Source organism: Homo sapiens, chromosome 2, assembly GCF_000001405.40.
Source record: "Homo sapiens chromosome 2, GRCh38.p14 Primary Assembly".
Taxonomy (NCBI): Eukaryota; Metazoa; Chordata; class Mammalia; order Primates; family Hominidae; genus Homo; species Homo sapiens.
The window spans coordinates 29,004,981-29,026,405 of NC_000002.12; the positions used below are offsets into that span (position 1 = coordinate 29,004,981).

The following is a 21,425-nucleotide window of genomic DNA, read 5'->3' on the forward strand; positions in this document are numbered from 1 at the left end:
TATGTGTGTGAGTGCATGTGTGTGCATGTGTATGTGTGAGTGCATGTATGTGAGTGCATGTGTGTGCATGTGTATGTGTGTGAGTGCATGTGTGTGCATGTGTATGTGTGAGTGCATGTTGTGAGTGCATGTGTATGGGTGTGTGTGCATGTGTATGTGTGTGAGTGCATGTTGTGTGTGAGTGCATGTGTAAGGGCATATGTGTGCAGTGTGTGTGTGCATGTGTGTGGGTATGTGTGCATGTGTGTATATGTGTGTGGGACCATGTGTGTGAGTGCATGTGTGTGGAGTGTGTGTGCATATGTGTGTGTGTGCATGTGTGTGTGTGGGGTATGTGTGCATGTGTGTGTGAGACCGTGTGTGTGCATGTGTGGAGCGTATGTGTGAGAACGTGCATGTATGTGGGTGCATGTATGTGGAGTGTGTGTGTGCGTGTGTGAGAGCATGCATGTGCGTGAGTGCATGTATGTGAGAGCATGTGTGACTGCATGTGTGTGCATGTGTGCATGTGTGTGAGTGCATGTGTTTGTGTAACTACGTGTGTGAAGCCATGTGTGGTGTGTGTTCATGTGTGTGGAGTGTGTGTGCATGTGTGTATGTGTGTGAGGGCATGCATGTGTGAGCATGCATGTGAGTGCATGTGTGGAGTGTGTGTGCATGTGTGTATGTGTGTGAGGGCATGCATGTGTGAGCATGCATGTGAGTGCATGTGTGGAGTGCGTGCATGTGTGAGTGCATGTGTGCATGTGTGTGAGCACATATATGTGTGTATGTGTGTGTGTGAGTACATGTGTGGAGTATCTGTGTGTGCATGTGTATGAGTGCATGTGTGTGAGTGCATGTGTGTGCATGTGTATGTGTCAGTGCATGTGTGTGCATATGTGTCAGTGCATGTTGTGAGTGCATGTGTATGTGTGTGAGTGCGTGTGTGTAAGTGCATGTGTGTGGAGTGTGTGTGTGGGGTATGTGTGCATATGTGTATTTGTGTGTGAGACCGTATGAGTGCATGTGTAGGGTGTGTATGTGTGCGTGTGTGTGTGAGACCATATGTATGTGAGTGCATGTGTGGAGTGTGTGTGTATGTGTATGTGTGAGAGCACGTGTGTGTGTGTGGGGTGCATGTGTGTGGAGTGCATATGTGTGTGCATGTGTGTGAGAGCATGCATGTGCGTAAGTACATGTGTGAGCATGTGTGACCACATGTGTGTGCATGTGTGTGAGTGCATGTGTTTGTGTGTGTGACTGTGTGTGAAGCCATTTGTGGAGTGTGTGTGCATGTGTGTGGAGTGTATATGTGTGCATGTATGTGTGCATGTGTGTGTGTGAGTGCCTGTGTGTGGAGTGTGTGCATGTGTGTGTATGTGTGTATGTGTGAGTGCATGTGTGTGCATGTGTATGTGTGTGAGTGCGTGTGTGTGAGTGCATGTGTGTTCATGTGTATCTGTGTGTGTGCATGTGTGTGCATGTGTATCTGTGTGTGAGTGCATGTGTATGTGTGAGTGCATGTGTGTGGAGTGTGTGTGCGTGTGCTCAGGGCCTATGGGCCTGGCTCCTTCAGTAGAGTCACAATCCAGTTCCTGCTGTGACTGCTTCCCTCCCGTTTCTTGGGGCCTGATGACTTGGATTCTTCCATTTTTCTCACACTTCCTCATTCCCTCCATCTCCCTGGTGCCTTCCCTCTGTGCACACACATATTCATGTCTTTCTCCGACCCTGTGGGTTATAGAGACCCGTCCATGTACCTGCTCCTGGATTCGAGTTCTCTATTCAGTTTTCACCGTCAGCCTCCTCAGACAGCAGCTTGCTCCACTGACCTCCGCCTCCTCACCATTGCACACGTCCTCCCCTTTCCCACTCAGACGCTGGCCTCTTCCTCCCCTCGGAGCAGCCTTATCTGTGCCTCTCATGACTCACTGGCCCCAGACCTGTGGCCTTTCCTCTTATCTCTTTACTCTTGACTTTTTTGCATCATTTGAACCATGGATGGCCCTTGAATTTTTCTTCTTTTTCTGCATCCTGACTTTATACCTGCTTCTCGACCTTCCAGGCAGCTTCCTGTGTGCCCTCTTCCATTTCTAAGTTCTGCCATTCCCAAAATTGTTCCAGGACTGTTTGCCCCCATCTCCTGTTTTCTCCTGGGGCCCTTATGTGTGCCCAAGTCTTCCAGATGGTGGAATGTGGGTGAGTTCACATCTCCTGCTCTAGCCCTGGAACCATCCACAGGTCAGGCTCCGGGTTTCCATCTTTCTGTTGGGCATCTCCAGTTTCTCCTGGCTGATGTGATCCAGCACCAGAGGGAGAGACAGGGAGGTTGTGCCACCATCATGGCAACAAGGACCACCTCGTGTTTCCCCAAACCACCCCCTCCCAAGACCTCCTCATTGCTGTCAAGGTGCAGACCTTCTTCTTGGCCTTCAAGTCTCAGTGTCATCTTTGACCCTTGCTCCTAGTGCCTCCTGCTCCAACACATTTCCATAGCCCCCAAGTCTTTCTTAACAGCCATGAAAGCTCCACCCCTTTCTTGCCCCTGCCTTTCCCTCTTGGTTTGTACTTCCGCTTCCTTCTTGACCTCCCCTAATAGTGCCTAGCCAGTATCCTTGCAGCCCTGTGCGCTCCATCCCCATCTTTCATTTTCCTGCTTCCCCCGCCACCTTGCACACCTCTTGCAGGCCCTTTGCCTGTATTGACATTCCTGATTGAATGAATGGCGGGTCCTTTGTGTCAAGGACCCAGGCGCATAATGCTGAGTCTCCTTGGCCTGACAATCAGGGTCCATCCAGCCCACGACCCCACAGTTCCTCCCCGCTGTCCCCCAGTGCTTGTTCTGTGGGGCCTTCTTACCCCTCCAGACCCTGAGGACCTATTACCATTTCACTCATCCATCCATCCATTTACGAGGGGACATGGTGCTTCCCCTCGTCCATCTCTGCAACCCCAACAGCCTCTCACCCCTTTCCCCACCCATTCATTTCATCTCCACTGTTCCATGTCTACCTACTCTCCCTTTAAAGGGCGGCAAGGAGGGGAAGTGGTCTTCTCTGCATTGTCCACAGGCATCCAGCCCAGGGACTGCCTCAGCCCCTCCCTTCCATTAAACAAAATAAGCAAATCTTGATTATTTAAATTTATTTTGTTTATTTATTTTGTTTTATTTATTTGTTTTTTATTTTTTATTGTTATTATTTTTTGAGATGGAGTCTCACTCTGTCACCCAGGCTGGAGTGCAGTGGCACGATCTTGGCTCACTGCAACCTCTGCCTCCTGGGTTCAAGCAATTCTTCTGTCGCAGCCTCCCGAGTAGCTGAGACTACAGGAGCATGCCACCATGCCTGGCTACATTTTGTAATTTTAGTAGAGCTGCAGTTTCATCACATTGGTTAGGCTGGTCTTGAACTCCTGACCTTAGGTGATCTGCCCACTTTGGCTTCCCAAAGTGCTGGGATTACAGGCGTGAGCCACTGCACCCAGCCAATTAAAAATATATATATTTTTTTGAGATGGAGTCTTGCTCTGTTACCCAGGCTGGAGTGCAGTGGCACGATCTCTGCTTATTGTAACCTCTGCCTCCCTGGTTCTAGTAATTCTTCTGCCTCAGCCTCCCAAGTAGCTAGGATTACAGACATGCACCACCAGGCCCGGCTAATTTTTGTATTTTTAGTAGAGCTGGGCTTTCACCATGTTGCCCAGGCTTGTCCTGAACTCCTGATCTCAGGTGATCTGCCCACCTCGGCCTCCCAAAGTGCTGGGATTACAGGTAGAAGCCACCGCACCTGGCCAGCCTATTTTATTTAAACCTCATTCTGTTCTTTAACTTGGAGCACCACAGGGCAGGGGCCATATGTCAAAAACCTCTGTGGCTTCTGTGGGGCCAGGATTGGTACCTGGCATGGATTAGTTCCGTAATAAATATCTGTCCTTTCCTGTTTGGTTTGTGACATGGATTTCCCTTTGTTGACAATGTGGGGCTCTCTAGCCAATGGAGGGGATGGAGGCTCTATTACCATTTCAGTCATCCATCTGTCCGTTTACTCACCTAAAAGCTGTTAAGCACCTACTATGTGCCAGGTGCATAGGTCACAATCTGTGTGCTCCAGCCAGGAAGTCATCAAGGTGAAGTTCAGAGAGGTGGGTGCGTAGGCGAAGGCTGCCTGTCATGTTGGTGACCCAGGAGAAAGAGATCTGAATCATGCCAGGCAGACTTCTCAGGGCAGGATGAGGGCACACTTGCGAGATGGAGATGGAGGTGGAAGAGGGAGAGACGGAAGGAGGAGTGAGCCCCTGCATCCTTGCGTGACAGCCTGCGGGGTGGGGGTGAAGGGCCTGTGTGCCAACTGAGAAGTGGGAGCTTCATCCTCCTGTAAGGAGGTGCCACCAAAGGCTTTCGGGTGTGAAAGTGGCATCTGCTGTGACTTAGAAAGGCCATGTTGGCAACCTCAGAGTGGCATGGACCGTGTAGATGGAGGTGGGGCTGCTGCAGGAATCCGGGGAGAAGGCAAAGGGTGGCTGAGCAGGGCAGAGGCAGGGAGTCTGTGGGCTGAGGATGCAGAGGTGGGGGCGGGGCGGGATGAATGGCAGGGCTAAGCCACGGGGTAGATGTGGGCTGAAGATGGGGGAGCTGAGACCATGCCGGGGTTCCTGGCTTCAGCCACTGGACAGATACTGGCACCCTTCTTGGAGACAGGGCATAGGAGAAGAGGCAGGTGCTGGGGACAGTGCTGAGGCCACTCTTGGACATGCTTAGACGTTTGGGTTGGAGCCGGGAGGGGCTCTTGCTGGAAACAGGGCTTTGCTGCTCCTGCTCCACCCACCTCCTTGGGGCCTGCGGAGGAGCCTGAGCGGTGGTGGGTTTTCTGTGAGGTTCGCACAGGGTGGGGCGGGGCTGCCACGTGCAGGAAGGCAGGGGCCCTGATCGGCATGGCCTGTCTTGGCCTCAGTCCTTTCTGCTGTGGGGTCGCTAGAGAAGGGGAGGGCAAGAGGCTTCCCCAGGGTCCACAGCTTAAGAGAAGCTGCGCCAAGTCCTCTGAGGCCAAATCCCTTGCTCAGAGCAGGTGTGTGTGTGTGTGTGTGTGTGTGTGTTGGGGGGGCGCAGAGCGGGGGAGGCTGCAGCTCAGGGCCCCAGGGGCAAAGCCGAGGCATAAGCATTGGGGTTTTTGGCATCCTGTGCTCACCTCAGGCAGCCTGGGACCTCCATGAGCTCATAGAAGCCAAGGGCAACTGTGTGGACTTTGATGCTCCACTTCCCCTCCCCGCCCGCCTCCAATCCTCTTAGTGCCGTTGGGCAGTGGTTAAGCAGTGGTGGGTTACAATGGCAAAGGCCTAGTGGGCGAGCTCCCCAGGTCAGGGGTGCCCTGGAGCATTCGCTTACTATCTCCAGCCCACACGATCCCTCCCTGTGGGTCCAGACCCAAGAGGCTGGGCCTGGCCCTGGGAGCAATGGCGAATCCCGGCTGATCTACGCCCAGGTTGAAGCTCCGCTCCTCCTGTGGACTCCCCTGACCTCCACAGTCCCCAAGGATCAGGGTTCCCCTGCATCCAGGCAGGCACTGAGGGGGGCTGTCCTACCGCCCCTCCTGCAGCCCGGCCTGGACTGTGATCCTCTGAGGCCAGTGTGTGGGATATTGTGTTCCTGACCTGTTGCTGTGGCTTGTTACTCTGTCAGCCCCCCAGTGGGTCCTGATGTCCACCGAGAAGGGAAAGCCATGTAGGACGCTGCAGGGCTGGTCTCCATGGGAACCTGAGCTCCCGGAGGGCGGGGAGTGTCATGTCTTATTGATGCTCCATTCCCAGTGTCTAGAATAGTGCTTGACACATAGTAGGTCTTCAGTAAATATCTGTTGAATAAGTAAATGGTGCTTCCAACTTAAGAAATTACAATTAAAACCAGTGCCAGGGATGCCACTGTCTTCCCCCTCCTGTGGGTAATTGGGATTGAGCTTCTGGTACAAAACAGTGGTGACTTCCTGCCACAGCAAAGGGGATCAGCTCCGCCCCCCAGGCCCTGGGATGGGGATTACAATCACGAGTGGGACTATTTAGGGGTCACTGAGCTCTCACGGGGTTGGGGCAGCTTGGAGAACTTGAGCTCAGTGCTGTCTAAGCTGGGAGGCAGTTTACCCTTGTTTACTGCAGCTGCTGTCAACTCCACAGGCCCAAGCAGCACAGCGGGAGGGTGGGGGCTTCCTTTAAGTCAGCAGTTTCTGTGTGGGTGTCAGCCTCCTGGGGAATGCGCGAGCTGCACTGCCAGGAAATGGGGCTGAACCTGGCCTGGTGGTCAGCCTGCCCTTGTGTTTGCAGAGGGAGCTGTATCTCCTGCAGCTTGAATCCTGGGCCAAGAGCCTCTGCAGGGATAACAGTGCCGTCCCCTCTGTCCCCCATCTCGGCCATTGCCCCATCCTGGAGCCACCCTGGGCTCCCCCAGCAGTGTCTCTGGCTGGCCATCCCTCATGATGCTTTTCTCTCCCCCGTTCTTTTAAGATTGGCTCGGGGGAGTGGGCCTCGGGAGAAGACCCCTGCATCTCTGGGTACGTATCTTCCATGCACACCTCCCTTTGTTATTTGACTCTCTACATTCCTGGGCTGGGTCAGGGAAACAGAATTAGGGCCAGAGGAGATCTGAGAGCTCTTGTGTCTGGGCCCTTCATTTCACAGCAGGAAGCTGAAGTCACCGGAGGTCTAACCGGAGGGTGGCAGCGGGCCCGGGCGAGGTGTGGAAGAGAAGTGACATTTATTGACACCTGCTCTGGTACGTCAGGTGTGATGACGTACACCAGCTTGTGCAGCTTGCCACGGCCTCGATAAGAGAGACAATTCTGGCCGTGTGTGACAGACGAGCTGGCACACGAAGGCTCTGTGAGCAGGATGTCCTCCCTGGTCGCTGAGCCCCATCAGGCTTGCAGCCAAGTTTCCACGGCTCCAAAGCTGGGGTCTTGACACATCAAGCAGCTGCCCCTTGCGGTGTGTTAAGCAAGTAGAGAGAGTATTCCTCACCTAGAGAATGAGAGGGTAAACCAGAGCCCACAAACCTCAGCCAGCTGGCCCCAGGAGCTTTAGCTGTCAGGATATAGGGCCAGCACAGGATTGAGGCGAGGAGAGGGGACAGGGCAGGGTAGGAGGCCTTTAAAGAGGGAGGAGGGATCCTTCCTGGATTGAACTCTATGGGGAGGTGGGACGGGTGGATGGAAGCTGAGCCTCTGCTGCAGGGTTGGGGAGCAGAACACCCCGAACCCAGGCCAGGGTGGGGAGGAGTTGGAGGCAGCCGCTCTACTGCCCGGCAGGAGGGGTGGCCTCCCCAGGACCAGCTTCCTGGCAGGTCACTCTGCTAATCAGCTCAGCTGGTGGGGCAGTTGGCGAAGGGGGGTGGCTGTTGCCCAAGAGGCCCTGGGATCAAGACACAAAGCTGGACCTGGCACAAGAAACCTCTGCGGCAGCTGCTTCTCCCCTGCTCCCGGGCCAGGCTGCAGCAGGGTGAGCTCAGGCAGTCTGTGGCGAAATGCACCGGCACCCTGAGTGACCTTAAGAGCTAACCCGGAGGACGCTGGTGTGGGGGTTGGGCCAGGAGACCCCAGTCAGTAACCACTTCCTCCCCTGGCTCTCCAGCTTGCTGCTTGAGAACCAGGTCACCAGGGACCTGTGGCAGGGGCAGGCTGCTCAGACAGGGCTTTCCAGGGCATCCCTTTGGGGTGGAGGTGAAGAAGTGACATAAAAAATAGTTAAGTCCTTAAAGGGCTCTCTGCCCTCCAGCTGGCAACTGGGCTGACACTGCCCTCTGTGTGCAACATGCCTAGCACATGGTAGGGGCTCACAGGGTCTTGTCTGAAGCTGGGGGCTTCCTCACATCTGTGGCATTCCTGCAGTCCTTGCCCTGGCCAGGTGGTGCCTACCACATGTGCCCTCTGCTCTGCCTCTTACCTCTGGGCAGATGAGGCTTCAAAGCCCCTCTTCCCCCTTGGCCCTTGATCCTTCTCCCTGCACCAAGCAGAGGAATCCTTTGCAGAAGACATGGCCTGGGCAGAGGACCTGGGTGACCTGGGAGCTCTGCACGGGCCCCAGAGGTAAGATGCCTTTTCCAGCCTCAGGCAGCCTCAGCTGGTGGCCCCATCTCAGCAGACCCCTGACTTGCAGGTTCACCCAAGGACAGTGAGCTCCAAACCCTGTGGGTGGCAGAAAATGAATGAACCTGTTTGAGCCCTGCCTTCATAATGAGAAATGTACCTTTAAAATCCGCTGATGGGGAAGATATGAATGACAAAGCAATACTGTGGATTTGATGCCATCAAGTGGAAGTGAACGGGTATTTTATCCATCCCAAGAGCATTCGAAGGTTACTGGCTGTATTAGTCAGGGTTCTCCAGAGGGACAGAACTAGTAGGATATATGTCTGTATATAAAGGAGTTTATTAGGGAGAATTGGCTCACACGATTACAAGGTGAAGTCCCACAGGCGGCCATCTGCAAGCTGGGGAAGAGAGAGGCTGGTAGTGGCTCAGTCCAAGTTCGAAAGCCTCAAACCAGGGACGCCAACAGTGCAGCCTTCAGTCTGTGACCAAAAGTCCGAGAGCCCCTGGCAAGCCACTGGTGCAAGTCTCAGAGTCCAAAGGCCAAAGAACCTGGAGTCTGATGTTTAAGGGCAGGAGGAGTAGAAGGAAGCGTCCAGCAGGGGAGAAAGCAGGCAGCCAGAAGACCCGGCAAGCAAGGTGATCCCACCTTCTTCCACCTGCTTAGTTCTAGCTGCGATGGCAGCTAGCAGCTGATTGGATGGTGCCCACCCACACTGAGGATGGGTCCTCCTCTCCCAGTCCACTGACTCAAAGGTCGATCTCCTCTGGCAGCTCCTTCACAGACACACCCAGAAACAATACTTGACCAGCTATGTAAGCATCCAATCCAGATGGCACCTAACATTAACCATCACACTGGCTCTCAGCTTTTCCGTCTGTGAAATGAGACTGGACTAGTGTTAGATCTCTGGTCCTGGCAACTCTGCCCTTTCCTGCTGCGTCATGCTTTCAGGCAAGCCCATGGTCATATGAAAGGATTGGTGGGCCCATTTTGCTTTTTCTTTTCCTGCCGTACGTACCTCCCAGGACAGATACACTTACTTATATTCTCAGGAAATGTCTTACATCTCCTGGATAACACATCTGGCCCTGTTTCCCGCCCAGCCTCCCCAATCCCACACCTATCTTGGAATAAAGTGTGCAGTGAATGAACGAATGGAGGGTGATGCTGGTCCACAGGTAGTCTGTCTCATGCCTGCCAGTGCTGCCCTGTACAGTAAACCTAACTCAGGTCTTGCTCCATTGAGGAAGAATTGAGGGTGTGGGGCTTAGCAGTAGAATTGAGCCAGCCACAGGGTCAGTGAGCTCAGCAGTGACCTGGGTGTCTTCAGCTCCACCCCTGTTCTCAACCCCTCAGAGCCAAAACCTTTGGCCTCACCCATCAGAGACAGGCCTGCCGCTGCCAAGAAGCCTGCCCTGCCTTTTTCTCAGTCTGCTCCCACGCTGACAGCCTTCTCCTTTGACTGTGCCAGAGAAGCCTGCCCTCCGCTGAAAGAAGAGGACCAGAAGGAGATCGGCACCAAGGTACCTGGGGAGCGGGAGGAGGAGGAAGTGGGGCTGGAGTGGACCGCAGGCTGCAGGAAGGCAAGCAAGTGTCTGAAGTATTCAAGAGTGGGACCAGCCACAGAGCAGAGCAAGGAGAGCCCGAGGCAGCCACCCAAGTACTAAAGGCCAGAACCTGCAGACGGGGTTGGGGTGAAGGCTGAAGAAAGGAAGAGAAAGGATGGGGGTCAGAAGCGGGGTGGGGAACTAGGTGCAGGGAAGACTGCAGAGGGTTGCTGAAGGGGTAGGAGGGAGGAAGGAAGGAGGACGGGGAGGTTGCACAGGGCTCACGAGGAAGCCGGACGTGGGGAGAGAGCAGGAAGCCTTAGGTGAACTGCGCTGCGTGGTTTGAACTAACACCCAAGATAGCAAATGAGAGGCAGCTGACTCAGGGCTGATCAGCCACGGGCTGTGCTCCAGGGACTGGCGAATACCTCACACTTCTCAGGTGACCTTGGAAGGTGGTCTCTTCCCTGGTTGGAACGAATTTAGTGAAGCTTGGGGAGTCACTGTAGTGAGGAGCCTGTGCTCATTCTTTGAGACAGAACATTCCAGGTCAAGAAGCATATCTTGAAGGCCTCCTGGGTGCATATTCTCTGTTAGAGACTGGGTGACTGTTAAATCAGCACCACAACCCTCCCACTGTAGAGAGGACCACAGAACAGGAAACACAAACAATGATTCAGTGCAGCGAAACGAGCTGATCCTCCACCCCACTTCTGCGCTCCCTCCTGTGGCCACATCGTAGGCCTTGGCATTCTAAAGTGTGTCCCCCCACCATGGTCTCAATTTCAAGCATCCCATTGGCTCACCACCTTCTCCTGCTGTTCTGCTCAATCCAGCTAATCCTTCAGTTCCAACACTTGTTCCCTCTCTGGCATCAACAATATTCTCCTTGAAACAGGATCATTGCTATCAGCATGTTAGCTCTCTGTTACCTCTTTCATTTTAAGAAAGCGGAACAAAACCAAGAGAAAATGATTGCCGTGTCTCTCTTCTCTCCTTTGTCCACTCCTGACAGGCATTAGTCCACACTCCCCACTGAAACTGCCCACATTGGAGTTGCCAATGACCTTCATCTTCCCAAATGCAGCCACGGTTAGTCCTTGTCTACCTTGACCCCATCGCAGCTTTTGATACGACTTGTGTCTCATCCTTGAATTCTCCAGCCAGGGATAGGGGTGAGGGGTGGCTCTTTTTTGGTCCTGCCTACGTGAAAGGCAGCTCCTTCCCAGCCCTTCTTGGCTGCCTCCTCCTCATCTCCCCGGCCTCTGGATGCTGGAACTCCCCCAGCGCTCAGCCCTCTGGCCTCTCGTCTATTTATACTGACCCGCTAGGTCCTCATCCAGTCCAGACATTAAGTACCATCTCTATGCTGAGGACTCCCACACCTCCCTCGCCAGCCTAGACCTTCCCTTGACCTCCAGACTAACATGTTTAGCTGCTGCTCAATATCTCTGCTTAAGTGCCTAATTATACTTCCAACTGACTGTGTCTAAAACTCAACCCTTGAATGCTCACCTCAGAAAACCTCCTCTCTCCCCAGGGGCCCACTCAACTCCAGCCTTCCAGTGGCTCAGGTCAACCACCTCGGGCGTCCTTGGCTCCTCTCTTCCTCTCTCGCCCCGCACCTCATATATCAGCGAAGAGAGTGAGCTGCACCTGAGAAGCATGTCCAGAATCTGCCCACCCCACCATCCCCATCGCCGTCCAAGCCCCACCACCTCTTGATTGGATGTTCAGCTGCCTCCTAAACACTCTTCCTGCTTCCAGTGTGAGGCTAGCTCCAGACCCTTCCCGTGCAGCAGCTGGCATGAGCCTTAGAGAAATGGAAGTTAGAACGTTCTGTGGATGTGGAAGATATTATCACTGGGGAAGGGTGAAGGGAACACAGGAAGTCTTGGTTCTATTTTGACAACTTACGAGTTGTTCTTGCGTCTTAAACTATTTCAAAATAAAAAATTATAAAAAACAACACTTAGAGACAGCCCCCACCAGTGGAAGGCAGATCATGTCACTCCTCTGCTCAAAACCTTAAACGGCTTCCTGTGTCCTTCAGAGGAGAAGCCCAGTCCTTTCCTTGGCCCGGGTGATGTGGATCCTGCCCCCTGCCTGATCTTGTGTCCTGTCACTTCTCTGACTCAGAGAGTTCAGCCAGTGTCCACCCCCTGACTGTCCCCAACCAGCCAAGCACACCCGGCCTCAGAGCTTTTGCACTCACTCCCTCTGCTTCAAACACTTCTCTCCTAGAAATCTGTGGGGCTGGTCTCCTTCCTTTATTTCTGTCTCCACTTAAGCTTCACCTCCTCGGGGAGTCCCTAGGGACCTTCTAGGCTAAAAGCCACTATCATCTCTGTCTCCTTACTTTTCTTTCAGCACATACTGCCTGATATCAGCATTTGGTCTGTTTGTTGTCTCTCCCCCACACTTCAAAGCTCTTAAGGTGCAAGGAGTTTGTCTTTTTTGTTCACTTCCAGGACAGCAATTGGCACACAGTAGAAACATTTTTGATGATTGAATGTTGATGATTGAATGAATGGGAGGTTAATAGAGTTTGCCTTGACCTTGTGCCAGATCCAAGTCACCATCTCCAAGTCTGCCCGGGAGAAGATGCAGCTGAAGCAGATGAAGGAGATGGAGCTGCTTCGGAGGCTGGAGGAGCCCAGGACAGGGCAGGAGCTCACTTCCCAGTGCCTGGGCTCCCAGAGAGCCTTCATGAAGGAAGGTACTGGGTGCCTGGTGTGGGATTTGCTCAGGCCTGGGGAGCTGAGTCCACTCTCTCATAGCCTGCTGATGGGCCCATTTTCTTTTTTAAAATTTTTATTAGTATTTATGTATTTATTTAGAGATGGAGCCTCACTCTGTGGCCCAGGCTAAAGGGCAGTGACACAATCACAGCTCACCACAGCCTCAAACTCTTGGGCTCAAGGGATCCTCCCACCTCAGCCTCCCAAGTAGTGGGAAATACAGACGTGTGCTACCATGCTTGGCTAATTTCTTTTAAATTTTCTGTAGAGATGGGCATCTCCCTATGTTGCCCAGGCTGGTCTTGAACTCCTGGCCTCAAGCCATCCTCCTACCTCGGACTCCCAACATGTTGGGGGTACTGGCATGAGCTACTTTGGCCAGCCATGGGTCCATTTTCAAAGGAGGACATTGAGGCCAGGGGAAAACAGACCTGCCTAGTCCTAGGACTTTCTCTGTGTCCACAGGCCTCCTTCCCCTCCGGGGCAGCGGGACACTGTCTGTGCCCACTAGGCTGAGCGGCCCATGCAGAAACGACGTCAGCATCATCCTGAGGAAGTGGGCCAGCCGGGCCTCCCTGCCCAGCATCCCCATCAGCCGGCAGGAGCCCCGCTTTGCCCGCCACGCCTCAGGTGGGCAGGCCCGACTGGCAGGCACACGTGTCCCTCTGCCCATGCTGCCTCAGGATGCCCTGAGGCATGGCAGAGGTGACCTCGGTGGCTTTGCTTCCGCCCCTTGTCCATGTTAGACCAGGAGGCAGCCTGGGGTGGTGGTTGCCTTGCCAGAGAGAGAAACAGTGTCAGGGACTCATCATTGTCTACAGGCTGGGCTTGGGACCCAGGATGTCACAACTGGAGTTGTGATGTCCTCAGCCTGTGTGACATGTCCGGAGGAGTGACCAGTGCACGAGGGCCAAAGACACTAGACAATAGCACCCAAGGAAGCAGCTGTGAACAGCAGAAAGAGGATGAGAGGATTGGGGAAGACCTCGGTTTCTTTCCTGTTGCTTCATAAAATGTCAGGGCTGGACAGCACTGGCTACAGACAGGAATCAGAGGGTCCAGAGCTTCTACCAGGGCACCTCAGGAATCGTGCCTGGGACATGGGGACGCTCTGTCCCCATTCTACCAGAGGAGCTTCTATGTTGCCTCATTTTTTTTTTTTGTATACTGGGCATTCATGTGAGATTTCATTTGGAAAGATTTTGCTACTGAAAAAAACTTAAAAACAGTCAGCTTGGTTCAGAGTTTCTGTAAGTGTGGGATGTGATGGTAAATGATCATGGACTAGAGCATAATTTCCATGCTGTAAATAATGCCAGCTCATCTCCCTTTTCAATCCTCTTTCTATCCTTTCAATTGTCTCAAGTAGAAAGTCTGAATTTGGTGCTAGTCTTTAGCACCTCTTTTTTTATTTTTATTATTTTTTATAAAGAAAAGAGGTTTAATTGGTTCATAGTTCCACAGGCTGTACAGGAACCATAGTTGCTTCTGCTGCTGGGGAGGCCTCAGGAAACTTGCAATCATGGTGGCACCTCTCTCTTTAAACAAGGAGATCCTCTTTCAGGCTCAAAGACAGAAGCTGCCTACAAATTTTTTAGCTAGAGTTTTAACATTGTTTTACTTTCATTGTAAATATTTATCATATTCTATGACAAACAATGTTAGTTTATGGTAGTGACAGAAAGTTCCCTTTAAAGTTAAATTCTTTAGGATTTGAAATTCTTTTGTGATTTGAAGTGCAATGTAAATGAAAGGACAGGCTATTGAGAGATATGGCAAAAATCATGAAAGTGGTAATTGAATAATATGATTGATACTGAGAACTATTGATGTATATAACCCAACTGACTCTTTTTTTTTTTTTTTTTTTTTATGACAGAGTCTCACTCTGTCGCCCAGGCTGGAGTGCAGTGGTGCGATCTCTGCTCACTGCAACCTCTGCCTCCTGGGTTCAAGTGATCTTGCCTCAGCCTCCTGAGTAGCTGGGTGCATGCCACCATGGCCCGATTAATTTCTGTATTTTAGTAGAGATGGGGTTTCACCATATTGGCCAGGCTGGTCTCGAACTCTCGACCTCAAGTGATTCGCCCACCTCAGCCTCCCAAATTGCTGGGATTACAGGTGTGAGCCACCATGCCTGGCCAACCCACTCATTTTATAGCAGCAGAACTGAGACCTAGTGATGTAAAAGCCACCCAAGATCACTCAAGGTCATGGTGCCCCATAGTACCACCATCTAAAGATCACTAGACTGAGACTTTGGCTAGTGATGCTTGACCCAGGATAGTCTGTTGTCCCTCTTTATTTGAACTGTTTATGTTTGGCAGGTGAGCGGGTAGGTAGAAATAAAATCAAGTAGGTTATGTTGTTGGAGTTAGGAAAAAAAGCCAACATTCTCCTCTTACAACCATCCTGGAAGCTGTATTTGAATCCTCCTCTTCTTCCTCTCTCCTCACAGTGAACAAATAATCCCTTAACTTGCTGTATAGTTTGGGTTTTTAGTTTGGCTGGAAATGATAGTATTTCAGGATTGTAAACCTGCTTGTCCTCCTGATTCTCCTAATATGTCCTGTGAGAGTGTTGGAAATAAGAGCTAGGAGTCACAAAGAAAACGAGCACTCAAATAAAGGATTTCTCAGCGAGGCAAATTTACTTCCGCAGAAGGCTGCTGCTCATTCTTCTGGTCACTGCGAGAGCACACCCAACAAAGGAGGGAAGGGGTTTTTATCCCTAATGCAGTCAGTCCCTACTACTGTGTCCGGTCCCCATTGGCTGGGGTTGGACAGCACAATCTAAGCTGATCCCGACTGGCTACTTCAAATGGATCAGGGGCTCTAGCGGTGGGAAGAGCAGTTTTGGAACTAAGGGCCTCAAATAAGGAACAGATGTGGGTTGTTACAGATTGGGAACTGATGTGGGTTACAGATTGGGAATGGATGTGGGTTACAGATTGGGAGTGGCTGGAAAGTTGTTTATTGTAACTAGGGGCAAGGAGGCAAGGAAGTTAAGCTTTGAAAATAGAGGACAAGCGGGACCTTTGAAGAGGAACTCACTGTTTCCAACAAGGAGCTGGCCTTTCTTGGGAGACTGGGTTAGTTTAGGTGAGCTCAGCTCAGGATCTGTTCAACTTCTTCTGTTGTGTGTGTGAAAAATAGAAATGACTGAACCAGAAGGCACAAATACGAACATGACTGGAAAGCTGTCAGAGGTAGGGCAAAGGGGGAGGCCACACAAGCCCTCAAGACACTGGAGGCTGGAATCCCCCTGCCAGTGCCTTTTGTGGGTTTGTTTTTAAATCCAGTGGATGCTAAATGCCCCTGTGGGGTGCGGTGAAGGCGAGGAAGGGGGGCAGCAGGGCAGGTGGCTGTATTGCTCGCTCCAGAAGACTGAGCCTCTTTTTGAGAGCGTTGCAGACAGCATGTCATTCACGTCCGTGCTGCCCAGGGAAGGATGGGGAGGTTGGATATTACCTCCTGCCTTTCAGAGAGTGACTGAAATAACTGATTAAGAGACTGTTCCACCTGCCAAGGGCAGTGCTGAAAAAGAGTCCAAGAGTGAGGGCTTTGTGTCTCCGCTTTTTTTGTTTGTTTGTTTTTTTAATCCCTGAGACTGAGTCTCACTCTGTCGCCCAGGCTGGAGTGCAGTGACATGATCTCGGCTCACTGCAACCTACGCTTCCCGAGTTCAAGCGATTCTCCTGCCTCAGCCTCCCGAGTATCTGGGATTACAGGCATGTACCACTATGCCCAGCTAATTTTTGTATTTTTAGTAAAGACAGGGTTTCACCATGTTGGGCAGGCTGGTCTTGAACTCCTGATCTCAGGTGATCTGCCTGCCTTGGCCTCCCAAAGTGCTGGGATTACAGATGTGAGCCACTGTGCCCGGCTGTGCGTCCACTTTCAGTAAAGGGCTTCCTCTCCACTCAGACTTGCCTAGGACCTCCAGATGTACTGTGGTGAAAATCATCCTGGTGGAGGTGAAGCTCGGGAGAAAACTCGCCAGGAAGGAAGATGTGGTAGTGAGAGCTCTGGACTGGGAGGGGGATCTTCTTGTCCTGGCTGTGCTGACAGAGGAGCCGAGGGGCTGTGGAGGGTCCCCCACCCTCTCTGGGCCTCTGGGACCTCAACTGTGTGATCAGGGCATTTGGCTAGACAGAGGCCCTGTAAGACTCCTTCCTGTCCTAGGAGTTTATGATTTCAGCATCTGTCTCCTGGGAAGGAGAGCCTAGAAAACACGACAACCTGTTTGTTGTGGGTCCCTGTGTGTGTGGCTGCATCTGGACTGTGTGGGTGCCAGTTAGCTACATTGTCTTCCTCTAGCCATCTGCTCTTGGACTCTTCCCTGCTTGTGGGCAACCTCACAAAAGGCTGGATAGCAAGAGGGAAGGAAGAGGCGCTGACCATACAGGCCTCTGGTTGGGAATGAGGTTAGACCGCCACCAAAGTGAGTAGGGAGATCATTCATTGATGGCTCAGGGGGCCCCACCCCACCACAGATGGGGCAGGTTTGGAGGTGTCCCCCTGACTGGGGGGTTTAGTCCCATGACATCATGTGGCTTATCACAAATCTGTTTATAAGAATCGCATTGGCAAGGGCAGGAAGGGGAAAAGTCAGCCAAAGGTAGAGTTAGGAGGTCTTCATGGCTCCTGGGGAGGGAGGCCCAGGCGCTGGGTTCTTAGCCTCACCAGGCACTTCCACTTGTACACCCTCCCTGTTAGGTGGGCTCAGGGTGGTGGCACGGCCTCCCATGGTGAGCGGTGGCAGGAGCGGCCACTCGGGCTCTTGCCTGTCCTGCTGCGTGAAGCCTGCTGTTTCTTTCTTGTGAATGCAGCTAACTCATTACCTGCGGTGCTCACGTTGGGGTCTCCTGAATGGGAAGAAGAGGAGGAGATGGATCTTAGAGCCTGTAAGGAGTTGAGGCCTTTCTCGAACCCGGAGCTGGGGCTGAGGGATGCACTCCAGTGCCTCAACAGCAGTGACTGGTGAGGAGATGCTTCCACCACGTGCTGTGTTCTGGCCGGAAGCAGGGGCTGTTGCAGAATAGCTTCTGCCCCTCAACTTCCCTCCTCTCCCACTCTGGGGTTCCAGCACCATGGAGCATAAAAGCCAGTTTGGAGGGAGGACTGTGCATGCATATAGATATGTGTGTTTATGTGCGTGTGTGCATGAGTGTGTGGTGTTCCTGGCTTTATGTGTGTGCCCTGCGACCCTCCAAGCAGCCTATGCATGGCTCTGTGGTGTACCAAAGCCAGGCATGGCAAGGATGCATTTGATTCCACACCATGGGGCCCAGGAAGGCCGCAGCCCTTTATTTCTCTGAATGAAATTGAATCTGCTCCGAGCGCTCCTCCCACTGTGGGGATGCAGGACCGTAGTCATGAGCAAAGCAATGCCTCGGCCTCCAGAACATTTGTGAGAAGCCCTCCCTGCCTTCAGTCCTCCCTGTTCAAGTGCCTTTTATTGAAGGTGTTGGCTTTGTGTCAAGGACCCAGACAGGTCCTGGAGGGGGGTGGGCTTCCATACAGCACTGTCAGAGCTGAGGGCTGGCCAGAGGCCACATAAAACTGGCTTTTACTGAGTGGTTAGGATTCCAGGCCAGGGTGTTACCCCGGGAAACCCTGCTCTGAGGCCATGGAATGGCACCCTGCTGCGGGTGACGGTGGACCGTGATGGTGTGTGATGTGGGGCCCCTAGTCTGCAGAGGGGTGGGGCTCCTCCCTCTCCACCCTTCTGCAACAGGGCCTGGCCTTGCTTCTCAGGCAGATGAAGGAGAAGGGTCTGGTGAGCATCCAGCGCTTGGCAGCCTGTCACTCAGAGGTCCTCACCGGGAAGCTGCACGACGTGTGCTTGGTGGTGACTGGGGAGGTGAGGCCCCCCAGCCTGTGTGCTGTGCATTTGGCCCCACTGCAGCTGCTGGATGCAGTCCGCTAGCAGCTGTGGAGGGGCTGTGGCTTCAGGGACATGGGGATCCCTGCTTATTTCTCAGCCTTCAGCCACTGAGGTAGGAGGTAGCCACCCATTTCTCAGATTGGAAAACTGAGGCCTAGGGTTTCCTTATTTGTAATCTTTGAGAATGGAAACAATTAGAATCCCACATGCCCATGTGTCGGCCTGCATGGTCCTCTGTACTCAAAATGCCTAAGGAGGGATGGAGCGTCCAGGGCCAGATCCCCAACTCCAGGGCAGTGGTAGTATTTCCCAAAGCGTTTCTTTCATGGCTCTGTGGCTTGGTCTAGCTGGGTCCAGAGAGGCAGGAGGCTACATTTGTTCTCATGTGGAGGCTGTGCCCTGCCCTTGGGAGTGGGCTGCTCCAGTGGGGGTGGGGTGGGGATGAATACGGAGGACGCTGTTTTGTTAACACAGGGGCCTGGGCTGTGTGGGGAGCATCTGCCTTCCTGCATGTGGCCTGGGGTCTCTGTTTCCTCTGCAAAGTGAGGCATCCAGAAAAAATACAGTTACATTCTCCCAGGTTAATTAGAGCCTCAGTCAGCACTACTGTGCTTCTCATGGTACCTATTTCTCACTTGGTAGTTGCAAAGATCAAATCAGACATTCTTTGTAAAAGTGCTTTGAAGACAGAGTGTACACATTTCCTATGGTCATGATAATGATGGGATTAATAATTGAGATGATAACAAAATGGGACAGTTTTGCTCAGAGTGGCTGCAGGGTTTTTGTTTCCAGCGTGGCAAGGCCTAGGTCAGGGGAAGGGTGGGGGTGGAGGAAGAGGGTGGTGCAGGGCCCATTTTCCATGCGTCCCAGAGCCCTTGGCAGGGTCCAGCACCCTGGAGGGCCTCTCTCCTCTCTCCAAGGTCACCAACCTGCGGTCCAAGGTGTCTCACCTGGCCATCAGCACCTTGGGAGACCTCTTCCAGGCCTTGAAGAAGAATATGGACCAGGAGGCCGAGGAGATCGCCCGCTGCTTGCTGCAGAAGATGGCGGACACCAACGAGTTCATCCAGAGAGCAGCCGGCCAGTCTCTGAGGGCTATGGTGGAGAATGTGACCCTTGCCCGCTCCCTGGTGGTCCTCACCTCGGCGGGTGTCTAGTATGTGGCTGCCTGTTGTCTGAGGGGCGGGGAAGTCAGGGAAGGTAAGGCAAGGGGAGAGGCCCTGGGATGTGAAAGAAGGAGGGAAGGGTGCAGGGAGGGAGGGAGGGAAGCAGGCAAGTGAGGCTGCAGGGGGTCCCTTGAGATGCTAGAGGACAGGGTGATGGGTCAGAGGTTCTGAGTGAAGAAGGGGCCCATCTCAGACTTCACAGCAGGTGCTTCCCACTTAGCTGGGGGAGGAAGACCCCTGCTTCCCTGTGCCGGGCATCCGGCTTCTCTCCCAACCTTTCATCGGCCAGGCCGGGGGAATGCAGGGACCTCTGGCTGGAAGAGGAGGGGGCCGTTGCACTCCAAGGCTGGGGAGCACACCGTGGCTGTGGGAGCGCCCCGGGAGACAGGGCTGCAGAGGCAGCCTGAGCATGGGCCCTGGAGCTCCTGTCACCCCCAGGAGCAGTGTTGCTTTCTGATGAAATGTGGGCCAGTGAGAAGAGAAAGTCGCAAAATTTCATTCTCCAGCTTGCCCCACTGGACCTGCTCCTGGGGAGGGGAAGGTATTGGGTTCCTGTTGGAGCCTTTCTGCAGATTTGTTTTCCCTGTCATTAAACACCCACACTAAAAGCAAAACCAAAAGCATTTCCCAAGCTGCTTCTCCCGCACAGCAAAAGGCCTCTCCACCCCATAAGTGGATCATTACACTGATGCGTGAGGTTTCTCAGTAGCCCCAGGGGCCTGTTGGACCAGCTGGGAGACCTTTAGTAATTGCACCATAGCATACTGCAAAGGGTGAGATCCTGCCCAGCCACATTGCCTGGGTTCACATCCTGATTGTCACTTCACTTCTCTGTGTCTCAGTTGACTCATCTGTAAAATGGAGATAATAATGGTGTCTACCTCATGAGGTTGTTATGAGAGGTAATTGAATTGACTCACGAAAGCGCACTTAGAAAGGTGCCTGCCCATTCCTGACATTCACTGAGTGCTTACTGTGTCTATAATTAACTTAGGAGAAATGAATTGTATTTTTTTTTTCTGGATGCCTCCCTTTGGCTCAGCTTCCTCACCTGCAGAATAGTGATGATAATAGTAGCTAATGAGGTAGATGTGAGATAATGGATAAAAGGTGCTGGCATGGAGGGACAGGCAATTGATCACTGTCAACAAGAACCAGGGTCATGGCTTGTGCATCTGAGTCCGCTGGGATCTTGCTGAAATGCAGATTCTGGTTCAGATGTCAGTGCTGCTGGTCCATGGACCATGCTGAGTAGGGAGAGTTCTGATGTCCCCCACTGTGTTCCACTGGGGTGAGACTCTAGGGGACAAAAGGGTCAGTGCTTCCTGATGGAGTGTGGACACAGAGGCCCTTAGAAAGAGGTGCCATTCTGACAGGTTTCTCTTATAGAGCTCAGGTTCCACTTGTTATGGTCACCAACTCACCCATGAATCCCTCTTCTCCCTCCTGTCTCAGTTCAGTTCAGCAAACATGCATTAAGCTCCTGCCAAGCACCAGGGATGTGTCAGGCACAGCAGGGCAGTGGGGTTGCCACAGAGAGGGAATCAGGACTCCAGCCAGGACACTAGGTAGGGAAGCACCAGGGGCCTGGGGCGGAGAAGGCAACCAGCCAGCCCCGAGGGGCCTGGAACATGCAGCTCAGCTTCCCTGGGATTCTGCAGAGGGACAGGCAGGTGGATGAAAGCTATGTCCTTCAGCTCTAGTCCCATCCCTTCCGTCAAGCCAAGCCCATTCAGCAAGGAGTCCTTACTCCCTGCCTCCACTTTCTTGCCTTCCATTTCCCCTCTGCCCATCGAGTGTTGCTCTTGTTTCTGCCTCACCCCAGTACTGTTCTCTGTACATTCAGGCCTTTTTTTTCTGGAGATACTTAATGATCACTCTTTTCGTCATTATGGATACAGCAGTGAAAAAGAAAAATGAAGCCCCTGTTGTTTTGGAGTTACTTCCTAGTCAAGGGAGACAGATAACCTGGTCCCCGCCCACAGGGAGCTGGCAGCCTGATGGGGGCCCTAAGGGTGCAA

General features: G+C 52.8%; 1 protein-coding gene across 16 annotated transcripts in view, besides 3 other annotated features; it reads left to right on the forward strand.

Moving 5' to 3' along the window:
* Positions 1–21,425, forward strand: part of TOGARAM2 (TOG array regulator of axonemal microtubules 2) — a 95,713-nt gene that overhangs the window by 48,463 nt on the left and 25,825 nt on the right. For 8 of the 16 annotated variants that reach the window (XR_939670.1, XM_047443568.1, NM_199280.4 and 5 more), the window contains 7 exons: positions 6,475–6,521; positions 9,415–9,581; positions 12,174–12,324; positions 12,812–12,976; positions 17,178–17,328; positions 18,106–18,211; positions 19,159–19,394. Coding sequence is in view for 15 of the 16 variants with exons in the window: in XM_047443568.1 (XP_047299524.1) it covers positions 6,475–6,521; positions 9,415–9,581; positions 12,174–12,324; positions 12,812–12,976; positions 17,178–17,328; positions 18,106–18,211; positions 19,159–19,394 (1,023 nt within the window). In the remaining variant the exon portion in view is untranslated. Of the gene's footprint in view, positions 1–6,474; positions 6,522–9,414; positions 9,582–10,620; positions 10,698–12,173; positions 12,325–12,811; positions 12,977–17,177; positions 17,329–18,105; positions 18,212–19,158; positions 19,439–21,425 lie in introns of those variants that run through there. The other 8 variants (NM_001321538.3, XM_047443569.1, XM_047443574.1 and 5 more) reach the window with 6 other exon arrangements.
* Positions 6,182–6,311: an enhancer, noted in NCBI's record as "active region_15529". NCBI's record gives its function as "activates an Ori minimal core promoter by ATAC-STARR-seq in GM12878 lymphoblastoid cells {active_cell/tissue: GM12878}" and the evidence as "EXISTENCE:reporter gene assay evidence [ECO:0000049][PMID:35858748]".
* Positions 10,338–10,387: an enhancer, noted in NCBI's record as "active region_15530". NCBI's record gives its function as "activates an Ori minimal core promoter by ATAC-STARR-seq in GM12878 lymphoblastoid cells {active_cell/tissue: GM12878}" and the evidence as "EXISTENCE:reporter gene assay evidence [ECO:0000049][PMID:35858748]".
* Positions 18,747–19,248: an enhancer, noted in NCBI's record as "H3K4me1 hESC enhancer chr2:29246593-29247094 (GRCh37/hg19 assembly coordinates)". NCBI's record gives its function as "activates a minimal SCP1, AML or CMV promoter by ChIP-STARR-seq in primed H9 embryonic stem cells {active_cell/tissue: H9 hESC(primed)}" and the evidence as "EXISTENCE:reporter gene assay evidence [ECO:0000049][PMID:30033119]".